Source organism: Homo sapiens, chromosome 2 (genome assembly GCF_000001405.40).
Source record: "Homo sapiens chromosome 2, GRCh38.p14 Primary Assembly".
Taxonomy (NCBI): domain Eukaryota; kingdom Metazoa; phylum Chordata; class Mammalia; order Primates; family Hominidae; genus Homo; species Homo sapiens.
The window spans coordinates 3,716,715-3,739,017 of NC_000002.12; the positions used below are offsets into that span (position 1 = coordinate 3,716,715).

Consider the following 22,303-nt stretch of genomic DNA (forward strand, 5'->3'; position numbering starts at 1 on the left):
GAGGAAGATATTATGAAGAATAATAATTGCTGTCTCTATAGGACCTGCCTATTCTGGACATTTTATGTAAATAGACTCAGACAACGTGTGGCCTTTTGCATGTGGTTTCTCTTAGCATATTTTCAAGGTTCATCCATGTTGTAGTGTGTATCAGGGATTCGTTCCTTTCTAAGGCTGAATTCCATTCTATTGTATGGATCCACCATATTTTGTTTACCCATCCATCAGGTGGTGAACATTTGGGCCTTGTTGGTCATAGCCCTGCTGATAGGGGTGAGGTGGTCCTCTTTCTCAGGAAAGAAAATTGTTTCTTTCCTTCTCTTCTGAAGCTCTTCTCTTCTCATTTTCTATGACTGTTTTTTCTTTTATTTGTGGGACTGTTGTCATTGCCTGTCTTTTGAACACTGCTGTTTTGTAGGGTGCTCTCCAATTCATTTTCTCTTCTAGTTCAGGCCACCCCCACTCCATTCTCTCCATTATTTCCATAATCATCCATGTGCCAAAGACCCCCAGGTCTCTCTCAAAGTCAGGACCCACATCTCTAGGACTCTGTCACTTGGATGTCCCAAAGACATCTCAAACTCAGCATGTCCAAGTTTGAACTCATTGGCCTCTGACTCCAAACCCAATTGTTATTTTGTGTTTCCTATTCCAGAAGATGGAACTGCCCACCCAGCTCCTAAACCCAGAAACGTGAGCATTTTTCTCAACCCTTCACTCTCCCAGAAACGCCCCCAGTCCCTCCCTGCCCACCCATCCCACCTCCTGATCGTCTCTGGAGTCAGCTCACCTGCTGTCATGTTGGCTGCTCCTAGCCTTGTTGAGGCTGCCAAGTTTGGTCACCTGGAAGGAGTCCCATGCCTTCCGCTGGTCTCCTTGCTTCCAACCTTGTCCCTTTCCCATGTGATCACGTCACTTCCCTTGTTCACATACATTAAGTCACTCCTCTTGGCTCCAGGGAGGTGAAGTCTGCACTAGTTACCATGACGTTTAAGGCCCTTCTTGATCTGGCCCCTGTGTTCTTCTCCAGTCTTGCCTCTCACCGCTCCTCCCTCTGTGTCTAGGATCCAGTCCTTGATGGATTTTCAGTTTCCCAAAGGCCTCTTCATGCGCCTATCCTCAAGCCAGGGTTTTGTGCATGCTGTTCCTTCTGCCTTGTTTAACTCAACTGACTGTTTTCTGCTTATAATTTAGGTCTCAATCTAACGGCCTCTTCCTCCAGGAGGCCTCCTTTCTCCCTAGTGAGGGTCAGATGTTCCTCTCCCATGCTTCCATGGCACCCATGCTGGCCTCAGCAGAGCCCCTGGCACCTGGCACTGTAATTGCTTGTTGACTTGTCTGTGTCCCTCTGTGCTCCCAGCCCTCTGAGGCCAGGAGTGGTGTTGGTCTTTTCCACCACTGCATTCTAACTCAGCACAGTTCCTACCATCAGAGGTGGGTCCTCTATGAATAGGTCTTGAATAAATGAATGAAGCAGTGATTGAGTACTTACGGGAAGGCTGGTGGCTGGCAGGATCTTAGGGGCAGGTATTCTCCTCTCCTTGGTTCTTCTGTGGATTGGCCTAGATGAGGTCTTGCTTCTGAGTGGGGCTGACCAGGCCAACCACAGGCTCCACAAACCGTCTGGCTGTCTGATTCTATGGGACGGCTTCTCTGGCTCTTAGAGTCAGCAATTTTGGAGGCATGGAGAGCATCAGTTCTCCTTATATTTTTTAGCAGGGAGTGCCTCTGTGGGTGCATGATACATAAATCAAGTGTGTGGCTGTTTCTATCAATGAGATTCACGTGGCCAGACCCCAGGTTGGTCCCAAGGAGTGAACCTCACCTGTGTTCAGCTCTGGGACATGCCTGGCTGATGCTCTCTGAGAAAGTCCAGGGCCTTGTGGACTAGGGGGCAGCATACAAAAGATGGGGGTCTGTTTTCATCGCCATGCAGTTAACACTGGAAATGAGCAGACCCTCACTGAGCATACACTCTGAAACAAGCTCTGTGCTGGGTGGAGGCTTTTCCTATTGTGTCTGGAGTTGGTTCCTGCCGGTGGGTTTGTCGTCTCGCTGACTTCAAAAATGAAGCCACGGACCTTTGCAGTGAGTGTTACTTAAAGGTGGCACGGACCCAAAGAGTTTTATAATCCTCTTGCTAGCTACAGATTGCTGACTGGTGCATTTTACAAGCCTCTTGCTAGCTACAGAGCGCTGATTAGTGTGTTTTACAATCCTCTTGCTAGCTACAGAGCGCTGATTGGTGCATTTTACAACCCTCTTGTAAGACAGGAAAGTTCTCCAAGTCCCCACTCGACCCAGGAAGTCCAGCTGGCTTCACCTCTCACTATCTCAGTGCCTTACAAAATCCTGCAGGCTTGGTGCAGCTGTTTCCTTTTTTTTTTTTGGGATGGAGTCTCGCTCTGTCGCCCAGGCTGGAGTCCAGTGGTGCGATCTTGGCTCACTGCAAGCTCTGGCTCCCGGGTTCATGCTGTTCTCCTGCCTCAGCCTCCCGAGTAGCTGGGACTACAGGTGCCCGCCACCATGCCAGCTAATTTTTTTGTATTTTTAATAGAGATGGTGTTTCACCATGTTAGCTAGGATGGTCTCAATCTTCTGACCTCATGATCTGCCCGCCTTGGCCTCCCAAAGTGCTGGGATTACAGGTGTGAGCCACCGTGCCCAGCCAGCTGTTTTCATTTTCCAGGGGCTCTTTCCCGCTGCCTCCCAAGCCTCTGGCTGTCCACATTGGGTGTAATTCTGCTTCCTCATTCCGAGCTGGAGCTGCTTTCTTTCTCTTTCCTGCCTTTTCTAGTATGCTGAAGGGTCACCGTGAAGATTAGAGTTGACGTGGGTTGGAGGCCATGATAATGGGGATGGGGCAGCCATGTCAGGCATCCCCCTGCCTCTGGAGCCCATCCCACAGGGGGTTCGACGGGGCTTTGCCTGATGTCTTGGAATGTTGGTGGACACTCCCCGTGTTCTAAAGTGTCAGGTGTAAAAACATGAGAGAGGCTTCAGGTACCAAACCAGCCTCCGACATCACCCTTAAACCTTATATAAGGACTGTAAGTAAGTTTATTGAATGAAGAAACTATAGACAGTAGTGGATGCTGTGGCATTTTCTCTCTCCTCCCTGTGGGTGCCTCATGCTCCTTCAAATCAGAGGCGAGGCTCCAGAGAATAGCTCAGAGCTCTGGGATGCTGGAGGAGGGACCAGGTCGGATGCTGCAGGGTAAAGCACCTCTTGAGAGGGTGAGGGTGTGCTTGGGACGACCCAGCCCGTGTGCCAGGGGTTTGGGTTTGCAGGTGAGTGTGCAGGTGGCACCTGCTTCCATCATCCTCAAAGCACCTGAAGGATGGTGGGCTCTGTGTTGCCTGTGAAGACAGCATGGGGAGGCAGCAGCTGTGGAAACTGCACTTGTCCCCTCTGGGGAGCTGGTGTGGCAAAGGTGTGTGTCTTTCCTTGGGAGGCAAATGGATGCCTTAGAAGGTGGCCAGACTTGAGTTGTTTAAGAATCGTTGCCAGCCATGGTAAGGGTCTGTGAGGACGTAGCAAAACGTTGTGGTTTGAAGCAAGAGTCAGCTGCGGAAAGTATCAGAAACATTCTGCATCAGGAACAGTCCAGCATGGAGTCTCTGTGAGGTTTTCAGAGGAACTCACTAAAGCCTGCACTCTCCCTGCCTCCCTAAAGAGCCACATTTGGACACCTGCCGAGGAAGAGGACATAGGAGGTCAGATGACAGTAGCTCCAGTTGTATTAGACACTCTTTTGTTCTGATGCCAAGATGAGGAGGAGGTCGAAGGCAGAGTAAAATACTGTGAAACAATGAAATAACCATGTACCCTTCCCACATGCAGCTGGGTCAGGCTTGAGCTAAGGGGAGAAACTCTCAATGGGATGTAGGATTAGGATTTAAATTGGACTGGGCAGGACATTCTCTATGTCTGCTGAGATGATCAGATGATTTCCCATTTTTAGTTTGTTAATATTATGAATTACATGAATTGATTTTCAAATATGGAGCCAACCTTGCATTCCTGGGGCAAACCCCACTTGATCATAGAGTATCCTTTTTATACTTGTTGAATTGTTGTCTTGGTGGAAAGGTATTTGGAAGATCTTGTCTAGAATTGGTATTGTTTCTTCCTTAAATGTTTGATAGAATTTACCAGTGGAGCTATCTGGGCCTAGCGTTGTCTTTGTGTGAAGAGTTTGAACTACAAATTCAACTCTTCAGTAAATATAGGGCTCTTCAGGTTATTTCTTCTTGAGTAAACTTTGCTAGTTTTTGTCTTTTGATTCGTTCATTTCGTTTAAGTTGTTGAATCTGTTGGCATGAAGTTGTTTATAACATTCTCTTATTCTATTAATATCTGTAGACTCAAGTGATGTTGCCTCTCTCATTCCTGATATTATTTGTGTCTTCTATTTTTCCTATATGTCCCTCTACAGGTTTATTAATTTTATTGAACTTCTCAAAGAGCCAGCTTTTGGCTCATTGTTTTTCTCTATTTTTTTCCCTGTTTTCTATTTCATTGCATCTGTTCTAGTTTTTATTCTTCCTATTGTGTAGGGAGGCATGTGTCTCTTTGGGGAACCCTGCAGCACCTGCTGCAGGGTTGTTCAGCAGAGCCTTTTCTGTGAATTCATCCTGCATGGTGCTGAATATATGAGAGTTGATCAAAACAATTTGCTTCATATGAGATCCTCCTGTAGTGAAGTCCTTTCCTGATGCTAGATTCTCGCAGGCTTTTAGTTGGATATTTTGTGTGGAAGGGGCCATGGAGGGTATGTTCATGGAGGGTAGTTGGAGCAGCATTGGAGAGGTGGAGAGAACAGAGACTTTGGAGCCCAAGACAAAACAACAAAGCCACAATAATTGCTGTTTGATATGGTTTTGCTATGTCCCCACCCAAATCTTATCTTGTAACTTCTACGGTTCCCATGTGCCGTGGGAAGAACTCCCACAATTGAATTGTAACTCTTAAAATTCCTATGTGTCATGAGAGGAACCAAGTGGGAGGGATTGAATTATGGGGGCAGGTCTTTCCTGTGCTGTTCTCGTGATAGTGAATGAGTTCATGAGATCTGATGGTTTTAAAAAAATGGGAGTTGCCCTGCACAAGCTCTCTTTGCCTGTCGCCATCTATGTAAGATGTGACTTGCTCCTCTTTTGCCTTCCTCCATGATTGTGAGGCCTCCCCAGCCATAGGGAACTATAAGTCCAATTAAACCTCTTTCTTTTGTAAATTGCCCAGTCTCTGGTATGTCTTTATCAGCAGCGTGAAAACAAACTAATACACTGTTATCAACTGAATCCTCATTACAGTCATTTGCTAAGCACTTGACAATGTGTTATCTCATTTCGTGTTACTCACTTTGGAGGCAACAACTTTATGAGGTGTGCACTACTGCTATTAGCATTGCATGCAGGAGGCAGCTGAGGCTCAGGGAGGTTATACAACTTGATCAAGGCCACACAGCTAGTAAGTGGCAGAGCCAGTACTGGGATCCTGGATGATCCAAAGCACAGGCTCCTGAGTACTAAGCTACATGGGTATGGATTTCAGGACTCATTTTGCTAAAAAGTAAAATAAAATGTTTTTTGATGGCTTATCATGGCCAGGACACTTAATAGCTGTATGTTGTTGGGAAGATGATATAACCTCTCTGATTCTTTGTTACCTAGATATTTTGCCTGGTTATGTTGAGGGTTAGGTATGAATGCAGGTAAAGAGTCTACTGCAATGCTTGATCCATGGTGGGTATTCAATAACCTGTAGTTGCTCCTTGGGGGAGATACACCTGTGGTCATCTTGAGTCTTCCGTCTTTGATTTAGATTTGGTTGAATTGCCTTGGTTGAAGAGGTCTAAAGCTCATGGCGTCCTTCAGCCTCTCAGGACAGATGACTGATGTGAGTCTTTGGCTCTGACAAGTGTGAATGAGGCTGTCATCACCATCAGATACATAAGCTTGACATTGTTCAGGAGATTATTTTATGAAGTACAGAGAAAAAAATCCAGAATCACATTATTTGATTGCTGGAGTTATTTAATTAGGCAGGTGATAGCAGGGTTAATGAATCATTAACACCTCAAAAGAGCAATTAGCTCATTGTTTCCATAATTTTATGCAATGAAGCAGAAAGCTGGTACTTAGGGTGGCTGTATTTTAATAGAATTTTGCAGAGGATAATTTCCGTTGTTTTGTTTTCAAACTAGGTCTGTAAATTCATGTTCATTGTTGGTACCCATGGCATTAGTTTTGTTACCATGAGTATGCAGGTGTATATAATTTTATATATAGTATGATAATAGGGTAGAATGGATGCAGGTGTGCATTTCCACCTTCTTCCATGGCCTCTCTTTTCCTGGAATCCTTTTCAGAGCATCAGAGCTGTTTTTCCCTAGTCATGGTAGCATTCACTCATCCATTATTCGTTTGTCTTCATGAAATAGTTATTGAATTCCTGTTAGGGGTCACTCATCGTTCAGGCACTGAAGGTACTTGGTTGAACACGACAACCAGGGTCCCTGCTCTCAGAAGCTTCCATTCTACAAAGGACGATGGAAGCAAATACACAAACAAGAAAGCAGAGGCAGGATGAAGTGCTTGGATGAAAGTAACTGCAGGTGTGTGACTGGGCAGGGAGGGCTTCTGTGAGGAGCTGACGTCGAAGTGACTTCTTAAAGTAAGAGGGGCAAACCAGACAAAGATCCGTGAGTATGTTCCAGGCTCAGGTCCTGTGTAGGAATGGGCTGATGTTTCAGGAACTGCAAGAATGCAAGCATGGCCAGAGAGCAGGGAGGCTGGGAGGGGTGCAGAGACATGGCAGAGAGGCAGCCAGTGCCAGCTTGCATGGCCCGAGGCTCAGTGTGAGGGGTAGGTAGAGTAAGGGCAGGCCTTACTGAGGGACATCACACTGCCTTCTGACTTGTGTTTACAAAGGCTACTTTGCTTGCCATGAGGGAAGGATTGTCTCGGGGCAGGGGAGAGATGGTGGAGGCAGTGAGGAGTGAAGGGTCCGTGGTGTGGCTTTGAAGTGGAGCTGACGGATGCGCAGATGGCATAAAGGATGAGAAGACTCAAGAACGCCTCCCAGATTTTGTAGTTGAACAAATGGGGCCGGGGTGGCACCATTTTCTGAGATGGGGAAGCCTGGGTTGATCCACTGGCTATGGATAAAATCAGCAATTCTATTTGAGCCATAACAAGATAGAGGTACCTGAACAGCCCCCCTTCCCCCTTCTCTGTCTCTCTGTGTGTTTCTGTGTGTTTCTGTGTGTTTGTGTGTGTGTGGCACTCTCATTTATTGAATTGAATATTTATTACTGTGTTATAGGTATTGCATTGTGCCTTTTATGAAATGTTCTCATTGTTATCTCAATATTATTCTCATAAGAACTCTGTAACGCACGATGAGATCCATTCTAAAAATTAATCAGCTGCTGCTCAGAGAAGTGTAGCTGCTTCTCCAGACCACATGGACGGTAAGACGTAGAGCTGGGATTTGAATTCAGATTTGACCAATTCCAAAGCCTGGGGTCTTCCCGTCTGCCAGGCTGCTTCTGAGATTCACTGTGTTCTCGCTGCCTCTCGTGCAGCTCTCTATTCTGACGAAAGGCATTGTAGGATCCCAGGGAGGTGCCAGAGTGGCCTCTCTGCAGTGACTGTGGCTGTCTTGGTTCCTCTCACCCTTCTTCCAAAGCCCCCATGAGACACACCTCCCTGGTCTCCTTCAGGGACAGAAGACCCAGAGTAACTCCTGTCCCCTCTCCTCTTTTAAAACACAGTTCTGTTAATGAGGTATGCAGCTCCTTCTCTCTCACTGTGCATCTGGGGTGCATGGCTTGGGTGCTGTCCTTGGCCATGGCACTTTCGTAGATGACATTTACTCAACGTGGGGTGATGTCGTCGAGCTCCTGTAACATTAATAGGTTAAGTGGTTTGTCTCGTGGTTTTGTGTGTGTTGTGAAACCTGGCTGGGGTCTGGGTGTCGAGAAGCAGGGCCCCAGGAGGACCCTCCCTGCTGGGCCAGGCATGAAGAGTTACTACCACTGTGTCTGACTTGGGGAGCAGAGCTCCCCAGTTGTTGGCCTGACATTGGTGTGGGCAAGTGGGTAGGCAGCAGACCCCTGGCAGAGGTGAGGTTCAAGAGCTGAGTCCCAGGGCAGAGCTGGGAAGTGAGGGAGGGACACGTTTGCCCCACCTGAACTCCTTGTTGGCAGTGGACTCAGATGCTGAGCTGCTGGAACCTCTTCTGTGCTAAGTTGGGTCTGGGTTGGGAAGGGAGAGGGGGCTGCAGCTTGGAGGGGAGGGTGTGGATTAGCAGCGTTAGGTGTGGAAGGAGGCCCTATTGACAGGTTCAGGCCCCCGACCTTCTGGGGGATGGGGTGCAGGTAGGGCCCGCACCATGGTGTCTATGCTGGGAGTTTCCTGGGTGGGTGTGAAGTAGGCAGTAGGAAGGACACCAAATGAATTTGGCTTAGTGCCGGCGGGGGCGATGATCGATTCTGATGTCAGCTTAGGGGTGGCTTCCCAGCGCTGGGCCTTGGAAGGGCAGTGTACATGTGCCCTGGAGGTGGAGAGGCTGTGGGGGCTCGAGCAGAGACCCTCGTTGTGCAGCAGAGGCCCCGGGAAGCACATGGACTGGCTGGGGACCAGGGTGGCTGAAGGAGCATAACATGGAGGGTGTAGGGGCAGAGAGTGAGGAGGCTGCCAGGTGGATCCCAGAGGAAGACGAGCAGAGAGGGAGGAGGCTGCCCGGTGGATCCCAGAGGAAGACGAGCAGAGAGGGAGGAGGCTGCCCGGTGGATCCCAGAGGAAGACGAGCAGAGAGGGAGGAGGCTGCCCGGTGGATCCCAGAGGAAGACGAGCAGAGAGGGAGGAGGCTGCCAGGTGGATCCTGGAGGGAGACCGCCAGAGTGACGAGGATGGCCAGGTGGATCCCGGAGGGAGATGAGCAGAGAGTGAGGAGGCTGCCAGGTGGATCCCAGAGGGAGATGAGCAAAGAGTGACGAGGCTGGCCAGGTGGATCCCGGAGAGAGACTGCCAGAGAGTGATGAGGGTGGCCAGGTGGATCCCGGAGGGAGATGAGTAGAGAGTGATAAGGCTGCTCGGTGGATCCCAGAGGGAGATGAGCAGAGAGAGATGAGGCTGCCAGGTGGATCCTGGAGGGAGACAAGCAGAGAGTGACGAGGCTGCTGGGTGGATCCGGGAGGGAGACTGCACCCAGTGGTGTTGTCGGGAAGACGATGGTGTCCGTGGGAGGTGACAGAGCGGGACCCTGGCGAGGATCCCTTGAGTGGATGTCACCATCGTCCAAGTGAGAGATGTGGGGGGTGGGGGTGTGTGAACCAGGTAGTGGGACTGTAGTGGAGGTGTGTGCAGTGGCAGACAGGGTCCCAATCCAGGGGAAACCAGGGGTGGGAGGTGTGAAGGGACCCCAAGCTTCTTATCCTGGTGGGCTGGGGATATAGAGATGGAACGTGGACAGGGGAGCAGCTCTTCAGAGGAAGGCCAGGCCTGAGGTGCTGGGATGTCCTCGGTGAGCCTCAGCCTTGTGGGTGGGACCAGGACCCTGTCACTCAGCACAGGGTTGGGGGTTAACATCCCTTCCCAATCAGAGCTCCCCCCATTTGCTTTTCTGCACATTCTTAAACAGTAGGGCCGTGAGGATGACAGGCTTTGCTTACCTGGGACAGGTCTCAGTAGTTCTTTTCCCCCTTTGTGTCTTATCTGCAGTGGACCTGAGACTGAAGCTGTCACCAGGCCATAGTGGTTGGCCCGGCCTCTCAGGCTGCATTCACAGCAAACAGGAGAGAAGGCGGAGGGGCTCCCGCCTCCTGGCCAGGACATTCTGGTTGGAGTCTTGTAATGAAATCAGAAGTGACATGTCCATTCTTGGGGCCCCATAACTTGGCCAGCAAAGCTCCTCGGCATAGTAGGCCATTGACGCATGCTTCTTGGGGACCATGGGGAGCCTCCCTAGCATGGACACACAACCTTTGGTGCCACCTTTGCCCGTCAGCCCAGCCCCCGCACCCTGCACTTCCCTCCATGTGCAGCGCAGAGCCCTCAGCCCCAGACCCCCTCGCGCTGCACTTGCTGGCATCTTCTCCTCCCCCAGCACCTGGTCTGCCTCTCTCTGCATCCTTCCTGGACCCGCCCCTGGGTGTTCTATTGACAAAGGGGTTCCCCCCCTTTCTTATGTTTTAGGGCAGTGCTGTGCACACTGTTGAGTTTGATGAGTGTTGGCTAATTTGAACTGAATTCCCAGGTGTGTTTTTTCCTTTTTCAGATCAAACCAGTGGTGCATTGTGATATAAATGTGCCTTCCAAGTGGCAAACATATCATCGTATATCTCGACATATAAAGTGAGTATAATATTATGGGTGAAAAAATCAAACTGTGCCATAACTCCCTAAAAACAATACTTTCTATCCTGACAAATGCCCCTCAGCCCCCTTTCTGTCCCTCCTCCCCTCCCCTCCCCCTGCTCTCTTGTGCTCTCACTTCCTGACAGGTGATTTCTTTTTCCTAGACCACCTTCTCTCTGATTCAGCTGTTCATGTGCTACCTTTTCTTTCTCCTCTTGAACCCTGATTTTGGAAAAGAAAAGCAATCCAATCACCATGCCGTTGTTTGCAGAACAGTTCACCTGGGGATATGAAGATAAGAGCATCATACACACAGCTTAGTTTTAGGCTCTGAAGCTTTGTTTTGATTTTTTTTTTAATGTAGCAGTTGCAGCTGCAGCATGTTGAAGGGAAATTTAAAAGCTGTTTCCCCCGCCCCTTGACCTCTTGCTACCAAAAGGCCCTCATGGGCTACAGCACATCCAAGTCAGGTGTTGCTACAGGAACGGAGTGCATTAGAGCCTCACTGGCCGCTGCCCTGGGATGCCGCTGGCAGTGCCAGGCACCGAGGTGCTCAGTGGGAGGCACTGGGGATAGTTGTGAGCACTGTGTGCATCCACCTGCATTATGTTTTTGGGGTTGGGAAAAGACACACACTTGACTTGAACGAAACGTTGGTTTACATCCCGGCTTTTCGTCTTATCAGCTTGGGACCTGTGCCTGCTGCTTCGCTCTGAGGCTGAGGATGTCTCCCATTGTGGAAAACAGGGCTGAGAATATGCAGCACACTGTGGTGAGGGTTAGCTTCAGGAATGTTTGCAGCCAGCCCCCCAGGGCTTGTCACAGCGTAGCAGTTCTCTGAATGGCAGCTCTTCCCCCTGTCCTTTTATTGGGATGTTCTAGCATTTTAGTGATTAAAAGCCCTGACATGGATATCTTTCCATTTTACCATGTTCTAGTCTAAATGGAAGGAATTTTAGCGAGTTTCCAGAGAATGCTGAGCTCTTCATGTGGGGGTCCCAGCCTTGTGTGAGCCAGAGTCACCTCTACCACGTCCCCTCGCAGTCCCGAGAGGCAAGGGCTTGGAGGCTCATGAGGCTGGAAACTGCCTGATTCACCCGACAGATCCTCAGGCTGGGAACGAGAAAGAGGAAGGAAATGTGGCCGAGAATTCGCCAAACTTGGCCCCTTGCGCTTTTCCTGAAAATCTGTGACCATTTCTTTAAAATACTTTAAGCTTCCACAAGGGGGCCACCTAAATACACAGATCTTTCCACACCACTTTTCATGTACCTAAGAGCTGTTTTGAAATAATAAGACACAGTATTTCTGAATTTTGTTAGTGATGTCTTTCCCGCAGAACATACAGCAACCTCAGGGAACGTCGTTGGTTTGTGGGTCCTTCTTGACAAAAACGCCATCCTTAAAGCCACATTTTATGTGCGTGACCCAGGCCATCAATGATCCTCACTCACTGGACAGACATGATTATTTTTTTCAATGAGAAACCAACACAGTCTTGCAGCATTTGCCCATCCTTTGTCTTGGTGTGTTGGAATTTCCACTAGATGGACCCAAATATCCATGTGAGTGCAGAGTCCTTCCTACCACAAATAAACCTGATCGTGTTCCTCGGAGTCCTTGTCGCTATAAAAACACATAAACAGTAGTTATGACGGCTTTCAGAGGCTTAGATGCTCAGGAGAGAAAGGCGGGGTGTGACCCTTTCTGGTGAAGAGGAGAGTTGGCGAGGGAGTGAATGGCTTGTTGAGCTGTGTTCTGCAGCAGCCAGATGCTGGAGAGAGAGCCCGGGGCTCCCCTGATGGGGTCACCGGGGGATTGAGCTGGTGGTGAGTGCATGGGTTGGAAGTCACTGATTTGGAGGTTGAGGCTCAGATTGAAGCCCTGGTTCTGGCACTGATTGAGCCGTGTGGCCTGAGGTCACTTCTCTTGCCCAGTGTTCTCTCTGATGTCCCTTGTCACTTAGGAAGGGATTCACTCACTCATTCCACTTATACTGGCGTGGAAAACACCCTGAGTCAGTGAATGAGCCTTGGGAGAAAAAGCGTTTAAAAGATCTTTTGTCGTTTATTTAGAAGTGAGCTGGCAAAAGTTGTCTGGGCCCTGGAGTGGTTTTACTTGGGGACTCCCTGCCCTTTACAGGGAGCCTGAGACCAGAGGGAGAGTGGGAAGAGAAGAGCCCACCCCAGGGCTCCTCTGTGGGGAGGAGGCACGTTTGTGCCAGGCAGAACTGGAGAAGAAGGGGCCATTGGTCCTGGCCCTCATTGCGAGACTGACGTCGAAGATAGACACAGCTGGACATTAGTGAAAGCGGCAAAAACAGATTTTATTTAGTAACTACTGAGAGTTGGGGAAGGAGCTGAGTTCCACTCTGATTTGTGTGGAAGTGATTTGGGCGTTTTAAAGGGGGAATGAGATGGGAGCAAGTGGGGCCTCAGGAGAATCAGAGAAGTGGAAAAGTACAAAGAGTTGGTCAGTGAAGGTGGCCAGGCAGCTGGTCTGCAAGCTGGCAGTTCTGGAAGTTAGGATTCTGTCCTCCGCCAGAGACTGGGAGACAGGCCCTGTCCTGCCTGATGCTTGCAGTTCAAGGGAAGGATCTTAGGTGTGGGAAACGTGTCTGCATGGCAAGAGCTGCATATTTGTCAATGCTCTAAGAAGGAGAGGTCAGGGGCCTATCTCAGGTGTTGGCTGGATGAACAGTAAATGTTCCTGGCAGCCCTGGGTTTTCTCAGGTGGGTGTTTAGTGGCGGGGCTAGGGTCATCCTATGGCTGTGGCTTGATGCTGCTGGACGCATGCTAGAGTTTGGTTGTATCTCAGCGCAGGAGTTGGGACAGAGTTGTCATAGGCCAGAGTTCTGTGAAACTCAGTCCCTCCTCTTGTTCATGAAGACAAGCAGATCTATTCCTTGTAGAACAACCACCACCTGTCATAAGGGGGACTTGAGGAGAAGGGTCCAGCCGTTGCTTCCAGCTGCTGTGCATTCAGGAGGAGCTGAGAGACAGCCGAGGAGCACAACCCTCCCACGAGGGTGGTATGCATCAGGAGATGAAAGCGTGACCATCGGGATGGATACAAAGAAGCCAGAGGCCAGGCACAGTCGCTCAAGCCTGTAATCATGGCACTTTGGGAGACTGAGGCAGAAGGATCACTGGAGCCCAGGAGTTTGAGATAATCCTGGGCAACATAATGAGACCCCATCTCTTAAAAAAAAATAAAGAAACCGAGTCCCTTAAGGAGCTCCCTAAACCATCCAGTAAGTGGAGGAAATTATTTAAAGGGAGATGCAAGTCAGTGCTTTTCTGGAGGTTGTAAGCTGTGTTAGCTATTGTGTCGGATTGCCACTGCTACAGTTACTACTGTTACTGCTTGAGACCATCATTACGACAGAACAAAGGGATGAATGTAGAAATAATAACAAAAAACAAAAGGAACTGTTTTAAGGAAAGGACCAGGGGAAGAAGAGAGCCCCCTGCTTCTAGTGAGCAAAGGCAGCCCCCGCCCCCCGAGCTTCCACAGCCCTTCCTATTTATTGGGTAGAATGAGCAGGGAGAAGGAGATAACGACTGGTCAGCTGCTTAATTGATCACAGGTTCATATTATTACTAACAGGCTTCAATTATGCCTAATCACAAGAAACACTTGCGCCTGGGTCGTGACTGCCCTCAGCAGTCCTTCTGGGTGGCGTGTGCAGTTTGTCAGTTTGCCAACATTCTGCATTTATGAGAAAGTTTGCTGCTTACTCATATAGCCTCCAGTGGTATACTGAGTTGATCACGGCCCTCACTCTTTTGGCCTCCAACAAGCTATGTCTTGGGTGTGAGCCTTTGCTGTGACTGTCTCTTGACAAATTTCCTCTCGAGTGTCGTCTACAAACAGGTGGCACTGAGGACTGACTCGTGCACGAACACCTCCCTGGTTTCCAGTCAGCAGTCTGAGGCTAGTCCATTTTGTGGAGTCATTTACAAAGTTCTGACACTTCTGGAGCTAATGATGCAGCAGCTTGTCCTAAGTGGGAGACAGAATCTTCCAGTTCTTGGGGGGCTAGCTTTGCTGATCCCCTTTGTAACCTTATAGTGTATCCGTCACCATAGGCGAGGGTGCAGTGGGAGGGACAGACCACCCTACCAGGCTGGCTCCAGGCAGCAGGTCCTTCCAGAACCCACTTAAGACGGCTTCCCATCCACTAATGCTTGGTCCACAAGTCTCAGGACCAGCAGCTGGGGCAGCACTCACGTTTCTGAGTCTCCTTTGCGAAGTTTGTCACATTTAGCCATTTGAAGGTCAGCACTGGCCACGTGACAGGAGCCCATCCACTGGCTGGAAGCATTTTCTATGTCTTATGACCACACACACAATAATGACCCTTCTGAGCATAATTGGGTTGGTCATTGCCTGTACTGGTTGTGACAGAGGCTTGAAGAGCTAACCGGGAGTAGATCCCAAAGGGAGAAATGTAACATTAACCATCATCTTCTCACTGATTGCGCCTTTTAGTCCTGTTTAACCAGCAATTCCATTTGCCTGATCTCTTTGCCAAATAATTTCCTGTGATGCTGACATCATGGGGTGTTGAAGGAAGATGATGTCTAAAGGGAGTTTGGCCCTTACACTGAGCTCCGGTTTCATGAGAACAGAATGTGTCTTGCTACAGGGACATGGAGGATTCCCTGTGTCCCACAGACAGGCTATGTCTATTAGACTGATTTCCCATGAACTGTCGTGTTCTTGAGCTCACGAGGCCATGTCATAGTCCCAGTCTTGGGGGCCTTGAAGTTACAGTTTGGTGCCACTTCAGAAGGGGACTGCTCTGGTTGTGTGTATGGGATGTTTCCTGTCAGGACCATATGTATGAGTATGATGAGGCCATTATGAAGGGGGTCTCAGTTTCAGGACTGAGTACGGTAGGGGGCGGTGAGTGCAAACCCAGGAATTCACCTCTTGGTCTCATCTGCTGCTTGGTGAGCCAAGAGAAGGAGAGAGTGATGACCGCACTAGGGAAGCGCAGGCAGATCGAGATGGAGGGAAACAGGGAGGGCCCAGTGGAAGGCTGGATGTGGTTCGGGGGACCGAGGAGTAGTTGATGCAATTGGGAGGAAGATACAGGAATTGTGGGAGAAGATTTAGTCTGTTAGGGAGTATGAAAAGGCAGGAGAATCTATGGGCTCTTGTTCCATGATCTCGGAGAGAAGCCAACTGTGTCATGGCATCACCCGCTTTGTTCCACGGTTGTTGGGACAGTCGTCTGCCTCTGGCTGTCATCTGCTGCCTGAGGCTGTCAATGGAACTGTGGTTTGAGATCTCTGGTTGGAGTGCTTTCCAGTCGGAATCATATCTATGTATATATGATATAATATATATATATTTAGCCATGAGACATGGACAAAGGTTGAACACCTTGTAATTTGACAGCAATGAACAAAACAGCACAAGGCCTTTCTTGTGTGGGGTTCAAGGTTAGTTTCCTGATGGTGGCATTTCCAAAATACCAGATCTCATACTTTCAAACTGTGTAAAGGCTGATCAAGGAGTTTGAGGGGAAAGGTGGCCTTAGTTTGTTGATTGTAGGACTGTGTGTATCTAATTAACTCCTGACAGTGTCTGAGGATGTCAGACTGTGTTAAATTGGAATCTCTTGTTAGCCAGGAGGTGTAGGGCATTCTCGTGGTCTTCCTGTAGTGGTTTCAAAGGGGGGCCATTTCTGAGGAGGATGGGGTGAGGATCTGGGAGTCATAAGAAGGACAGATAACACCCATGGCCATAGACAACCCAGTTCTTCAGACAGCTTAGCCAGATTGGACTTTGGACATGTGGGCTCTTCCTGAGGTGCCTGATGACTGAGGGTGTAATGGCAATGCAGTCTTCGACTAATATATTGTATTTATAATTGCTTGTGTAATTTTGCTAGTGAAATGTGATCTTTCATTAGAAATTATAGAGAGGATACCCCAAGTGGGATAGATTACTTCCAGGAAAATGTTGGCAACTGATGTCGTGGAGGCATTTTGGCAGTGGAACAACCTCTAACTATTTAGAAAACATGCAGATCAGTGTGGGGACATATTGGGGACATATTGGCTGCTGGGCCTCTGGTAATTGGATAAAGTGTATTTGTCAGTGAAGGAAGGGTCCAGTGTAAGCTGTTCTCCTTCCTCAGTCCATGTTTAGAATTTTCCCAAGGGTATGTTTCTGGCAGATGAAGTGAGGGACAGCTGCTTGGTCCAGCTAAAAGCTAAAGTGTTCAAGCCATTGTTTGTCCAGTATGTCCTGCATTTGTACCTTTCTGGGATGAGTCAGGTGTAAACCACATACAGTGACTCTGGTGACAGACTTGGGTGGGCCATGTGGCTCTCTTGTGTTATTTCCTTGGGAGGCATCTTGAAGGAGTTGTTTCCTTCAAGGGAGGTGTCTGTTTGGGTTGTTATAACAAAATATGTGAGCCTGGGTAATTTATAAACAGCAGAAATTTTTTGCCCACAGTTCTGGAGGCTGGGAAGTCCGAGATTGAGGTGCTAGCAGGTTTGGTGTCTGGCGAGGGGTGTTCCCTGCTGCACAGTTGTGCCTTCTTGCTGTGTCCTCACATGATGGACGGGGCAGACAAGCTCCCTGAGGCCTCTTTTATAAGGACACTAATCCCACTCGTGAACCTAAGCCCCCTCGTGATTGAATCACCTTTTAAAGGCCTCACCTCTTAATGCTTTTACACTGGGGATTTGGTTTCAACATGAACTGGGGGGTGAGGGGACACGATTCAGACTGTAGCAGAGGTTGAATCATCCCACCAGGGGTCTGGGACCTTGAAGTGCGAGCCAGGGCTGTGGTCCCAAGGCCTAGAAACCACGTGGGTTCCTCAAGCGGTGGGGGAAGAGGCTTCTAGTTTGGCATATTTATTAACCCACTTATTTTCCCAAGTGTCATCTGATTTCTTTATGCCGTATCCCTCAGTTTTAATAAGAGCAGTTTGCTGGGGTAGTAACAGTGCCTCCAGAAGTTCTGCTATTTGACTGGGCTACCGGCTGCTGTCGTAAATCCCCCATTTCCGTGGCACACCAACATCACGTACTGCCCCAAAGGCATGGCGGCTGTCAGCGTGGATGTTTCACCTTCATTTCTTCTGTCTTCATGCAAGCCCGAGTAAATGATTCATTCAGCCACCTGGGCTGATGTAACACATGGCAGGGCTAGATAGCCAAGAGGTTTGTGCTGATTAGTGATGGCATATCCAGCCTGGAAGGGCCCACCCTCCCTCCAGAGATAGGAGCCATCGACATAAAGAGCGAGATCTACTTAGGGCAGAGGGGTTTCTGATGAATCTAATCTAGGATGAGACAATCATCTGATGTTGGTGACACGGGTGTCACTAACATCCACTAACTAACCACGGGTAAAGGAAGCAAGTGGAGGGGTTAAGGCTTTGATGGTGTAGTATGGTTATGTGAGGGGGAAAGCAGTAGATTTCGTAAGAGGGAAGTTTAGCCACAGAGAAATGCTGTGTTCTCATTAAGCAGTGGGGTCTGTAGGGTCTGAACGGGATGAGGAATGTGTGTGTCTAATAGGCGACCCAGTTGCAAATGAGACAGGCAGCCTGGACAAGACTGGTGGTTGCAGCCCTGGCTCACAGGCAGGAGACATGCCTCAAGTCCTGAGCTCGGTGAAGCTCTCGCAATCCACGTTTTTATGTTTTGGGGAGAAGACTCCAAGACATGATCCTCTCCTTCATGCACAAGGAAGGACAAAGGCAGGGAGTAATTGGGAAGTTCAAGGTGGGGGTGAAAGTACAGAGCCCTTCAGGTTCATGAAAGTGTCTTTAGATAGGGGGTTCCTTACTCCCGGGTCCAGGGATGACTCCCTTATCGTGGCCTAAAGAGAGGAGGCAATTGGAGAGAAATTAGGCATCCACATCCTACCGCATCCCACAAGACCCCCACTTTCTCGCTCCCAATTGTTCGTTTGTTTCCAGGAAAGGAAAATGTTGAAGACTAGAAACTTGGTCTGTAGAGATTGCTTTTTTCTGTGACCAAGATATCATAGCCCAGATACCAGACACACAGGATAACTGAACTTTGTGTCTAGCCACTCCACGGTCCTTTTTGCTAACACCCTAAGGAGGCATTCAGCGTGCAGAAGGGAGCTGTTGTAACTTTCTTTTTTTTATTTTTATTTCTTAATTTTTTAATTTTTAATTTTTTTATTATTATTATACTTTAAGTTTTAGGGTACCCGTGCACAATGTGCAGGTTTGTTACATATGTATACATGTGCCATGTTGGTGTGCTGCACCCATTAACTCATCATTTAGCATTAGGTGTATCTCCTAAAGCTATCCCTCCCCTGCCCCCCACCCCACAACAGTCCCTGGTGTGTGATGTTCCCCTTCCTGTGTCCATGTGTTCTCATTGTTCAATTCCCACCTGAGTAACTTTCAGAACATAGGAGGAGGTCATCCACAAGTTGGATTACAGTTGAGTTTCCTGGGAATTTTACCCGCATCAGATTTGCACTTAGGGTGTGTGAGAAGTAGGTAGGGGCCTCAGTAAATCCTTGAGGCATAACGGTCCAGGAATATGGTTCATTTTCCCAGGTGAAGGTGACAAGCCCGGGGAATTTTCATGGTAGGGAATTCTAAAAAAGGCAGTGCACACATTGATGATGACTGTGAAATACTGTGTGTTAAAAGTGATCACGGCCAGGATAGTGTTAGCATTAGGCACCAAGGAAAGCCTGGGTTTGACCATTTTTTTTTTTTTATAGATCTCAGATCTTGGATCAGCTGATATATGTTTTTTCCATTTGGCTTTTTAGTGGCTGGAATGCGAGTGTTGCATGGATTGGAAATATAGGGCAGTACCTTTCAAGTCCCTCTGGTTTTAAATGATTTTTTGCAAATCTTGTGGAGGGGCATGGAAGGATCTATTTCTATCTTATAGGGTTCTGCATCCCAAATACATCTAATATCCATGGAGTTTCTTATCCACAAAGGTGGAGGAATCCTGCCTAACAGCTGATTGAAGTCTTTGGTTAAATGAGTGCCAGGTGGAGGGAAGCAGAAGAACTTAAGCAAGTCGGACACCATGTCGGGGAACATAGATGAGAGGGAAGGAGTCCCTGGGGACACAGTGGATTCTAATACCCCAATCCAGGAGAAGATCCTTTCCTAGCAGATTTACAGGGTGGTAGGACTGAGAAGGAAGTTGTGCTGCTTTAAGGGGTCCCACAGAAATGTTTTGAGGTTGAGAAAGAGGCAAGTCGTGAGGCACAGGATCAAAACCCACCCCTGGTGAAGGTGGGTGACTCGGAGGAACGGAGCAGGAGATGAGGAGGTCCTAAGGGTAGGATGCGTTGCCCCAGACCAGTGAGAAGCGTGGTGGAGTCCCCTTCAGGTTGCAGGGTGACTTCTCCTGTTGAGTTTAGTGGCAGTTATAAGAGCATTGGACGTTTGCTTTCTGCAGGGCAGGCAGTGATTTTGTGATGAGCAGAGGGGTAGGATTCTTCGCTCCTCTGGAGGGCTGAGCTGTTTCTCCCCACGAGCCAGCAAATGTCCAGACCCAAAAGAGCCCATGGTTTCTGAGCTTGCTGTGGTCAAATGTTTCAGGTTTTTTCCTGATGATTTCAATTGCAGTGCATTGTACATTGTATATTTTCCAAATGGACGGGGTTGTTACATGCTGAGAATTCTGCAGTTCTCAACGAGAAAGTTTAAGATTAGAGTGAACTGTTACTTAAATCACTCCAGTTTTCTTTCAGGTTGTCTCAAAATCTTAGTTTAGAAAAACACAATAATAACTGTTATGACACCTTAGTTTTAAAGAATAATGCCTCTTTATTACCCTTTTCAAATCAAAATGCCTGTAACCTCCTTTTGCCTTCATTATAAGCCTATGCAGCAGATAAGGCAGGCAGTCATATTCCACTTTTGGAAATGGAAGATTGAGGCCAAAAGAGAGTAAGACCTTCATCTGTTCCTTTGATCCCTAATGGCTCCATCCAATCCATGTACCCCCCGCCACTGCCCATCCAGAATTGACTGAGTACCCCCAGGTGCCAGGCCCTGGGGAGACCGAGAGATTCAGATGCAGGCTTGTCCTCAGAGAGCTCACAGTTCAGTGGGGGAATGAGAGGTCCAGAGATAGAGCTATTTAGTTCTAGAATCAGCCCCGAAGACCATGGCTTCTGAGTTCAAATGTGGAGAACTTTTCAGTTCAACTCAGCTTGGAACTTGACCTGGTTCTTGAGAGCAAGCATTAGGCGACCTTCACCCCAGGATGAGGGGAGGGCGCAGGCGGCCAGCCCAGGATGTCACAATATGTTCATGGCCCGTTTACTACCCAACTGCAGTGGGTCATGGCTATTTGAAGATAGCGTGGCAATGGAAACAAAAACGACCCTGGCTTTCTTCCCACCTACTATCATCAATGTATTTCGGAGAGAAACAGCACATTTCTGATGCCTTCTACCTTGCTTTTCAACAGAGAAGACATAAGTGGGTAGAGGGAGGTGGATGCAGGGGAAGGTCTGGGTGGTTGGTTCTCCATGTGGCCTCCATGTGGCCTGGGGAAACCCCTTACCCTCTCAGAGGTCCAGATTCTTCCTCTGTGTCACGGGGGAGCAGGACTCACTTTACTGATTTGCTGGAAAGGTTAGAGACGACTCTCTAAAGTGTTCATGGCTAGTGCTGAGGAAATGGCAGCTGTCATCGCCAACCCACCTGACCAAAACCCATTCCTGGACCTATATGCTACTTCCCATTTTAAACAATCTGAAATATTTTCTATTTAAAATGTTTAAAATGTTTTATTTTCCTCCTATTTACTACTAAAAATTAAGTAGCAACACAGGAAGAGGTGCATTGACAAAGTAGTTTTATGCCTTTTGAAATCTCTTCAGAGTTTTTATTTAAATAAACCATCTTATTTAACAGAGTGACTCATGCCAATGGTAAATATATATTTTTAAGAGATATACATTTAAAGTAAGTCTCCCAAATTAAAAATTAAAAAAATAAAATTAATTTCAGCCTGTCAATACTGCTAATTTGTTAGAAAAATAAGTCAACAAGAAGTAAAATCTACATTTGAACTGATGAAATTTGGTAAATTTGGTAAGAAATAAATAATTCAGTGCACCATTGACAGTTCACATCAATGTGTTTCACATTAACGGCAGATTGGATAAATGCCTGATTTTTGAATATTCATTTTGAGCAATGAGATTGAAATAAAGTAAAAAAGGAATTAATGTTTGTTTTTACTCCCTTGTCAAAGGGTTTGATTTATATTACAGATAATTGTATGTGCAACTTCTCTATCAGATTGCAAGTTTTTGTTGGCAGAGAGTTGAGGAGAATTCAAAGTGTGAAGAAAGAGGAGAGATAGTGAAATTAAATTGAGATGAACTATATGATGAGATATATTCAGCATCCCACTCCAAGGGCAATACATTTTTTCTGCTGGTCTATCTGGGAAAAAAAAAAAAAAAAAAAAAAAAAAAAAAGCCTCCCAGCTTATATCACTAGTTCTCTAGTGATTCCCCCAGAGGGAGCCAGCGTTGCAGTTTCTGGTCTCTTTCTAGGATGGGCCATGCGTGATCAGGCGTTTATAGGTATATGTGTACTGCATGCACTGTTGTGTACCTTCATTTTTCTTGTAACCACCCAATTTATCTTGTATATGGTTTTTTATCAGCATATATAAATTGTGCTTTCAAAAATGAGTACCAGGCATTCAAAAATTCACATGTACCAGTGTTTATTTACCAGTGATGGGATTTGATGTGTGCCCATCCACAACCTATCACAGACTTCCAGGGAAACTGTTTTTGGGTATTTTAGATGGAGTTGTTCATTCAGCTACCTGGAAGATGGATCATCGGACCCTGAACAACACGGACCCCAAACCTGGCATGGTGATATTGGTCTAGGTTCATTCTTCTGCTCAACCA

General features: G+C 47.8%; 1 protein-coding gene across 12 annotated transcripts in view, besides 3 other annotated features; it reads left to right on the plus strand.

Moving 5' to 3' along the window:
- The window catches only part of DCDC2C (doublecortin domain containing 2C), a 144,434-nt gene that overhangs the window by 13,140 nt on the left and 108,991 nt on the right, over nucleotides 1-22,303 (plus strand). For 11 of the 12 annotated variants that reach the window (XR_007081579.1, NM_001287444.2, XM_047445725.1 and 8 more), the window contains exon 3: nucleotides 10,289-10,365. Coding sequence is in view for 11 of the 12 variants with exons in the window: in NM_001287444.2 (NP_001274373.1) it covers nucleotides 10,289-10,365 (77 nt within the window). In the remaining variant the exon portion in view is untranslated. Of the gene's footprint in view, nucleotides 1-10,288; nucleotides 10,366-11,306; nucleotides 11,874-22,303 lie in introns of those variants that run through there. The other variant, XM_047445729.1, reaches the window with a different exon arrangement.
- Nucleotides 8,241-8,767: an enhancer, noted in NCBI's record as "H3K27ac-H3K4me1 hESC enhancer chr2:3772545-3773071 (GRCh37/hg19 assembly coordinates)". NCBI's record gives its function as "activates a minimal SCP1, AML or CMV promoter by ChIP-STARR-seq in primed H9 embryonic stem cells {active_cell/tissue: H9 hESC(primed)}" and the evidence as "EXISTENCE:reporter gene assay evidence [ECO:0000049][PMID:30033119]".
- Nucleotides 8,768-9,293: an enhancer, noted in NCBI's record as "H3K27ac-H3K4me1 hESC enhancer chr2:3773072-3773597 (GRCh37/hg19 assembly coordinates)". NCBI's record gives its function as "activates a minimal SCP1, AML or CMV promoter by ChIP-STARR-seq in primed H9 embryonic stem cells {active_cell/tissue: H9 hESC(primed)}" and the evidence as "EXISTENCE:reporter gene assay evidence [ECO:0000049][PMID:30033119]".
- Nucleotides 11,284-11,873: an enhancer, noted in NCBI's record as "H3K27ac-H3K4me1 hESC enhancer chr2:3775588-3776177 (GRCh37/hg19 assembly coordinates)". NCBI's record gives its function as "activates a minimal SCP1, AML or CMV promoter by ChIP-STARR-seq in primed H9 embryonic stem cells {active_cell/tissue: H9 hESC(primed)}" and the evidence as "EXISTENCE:reporter gene assay evidence [ECO:0000049][PMID:30033119]".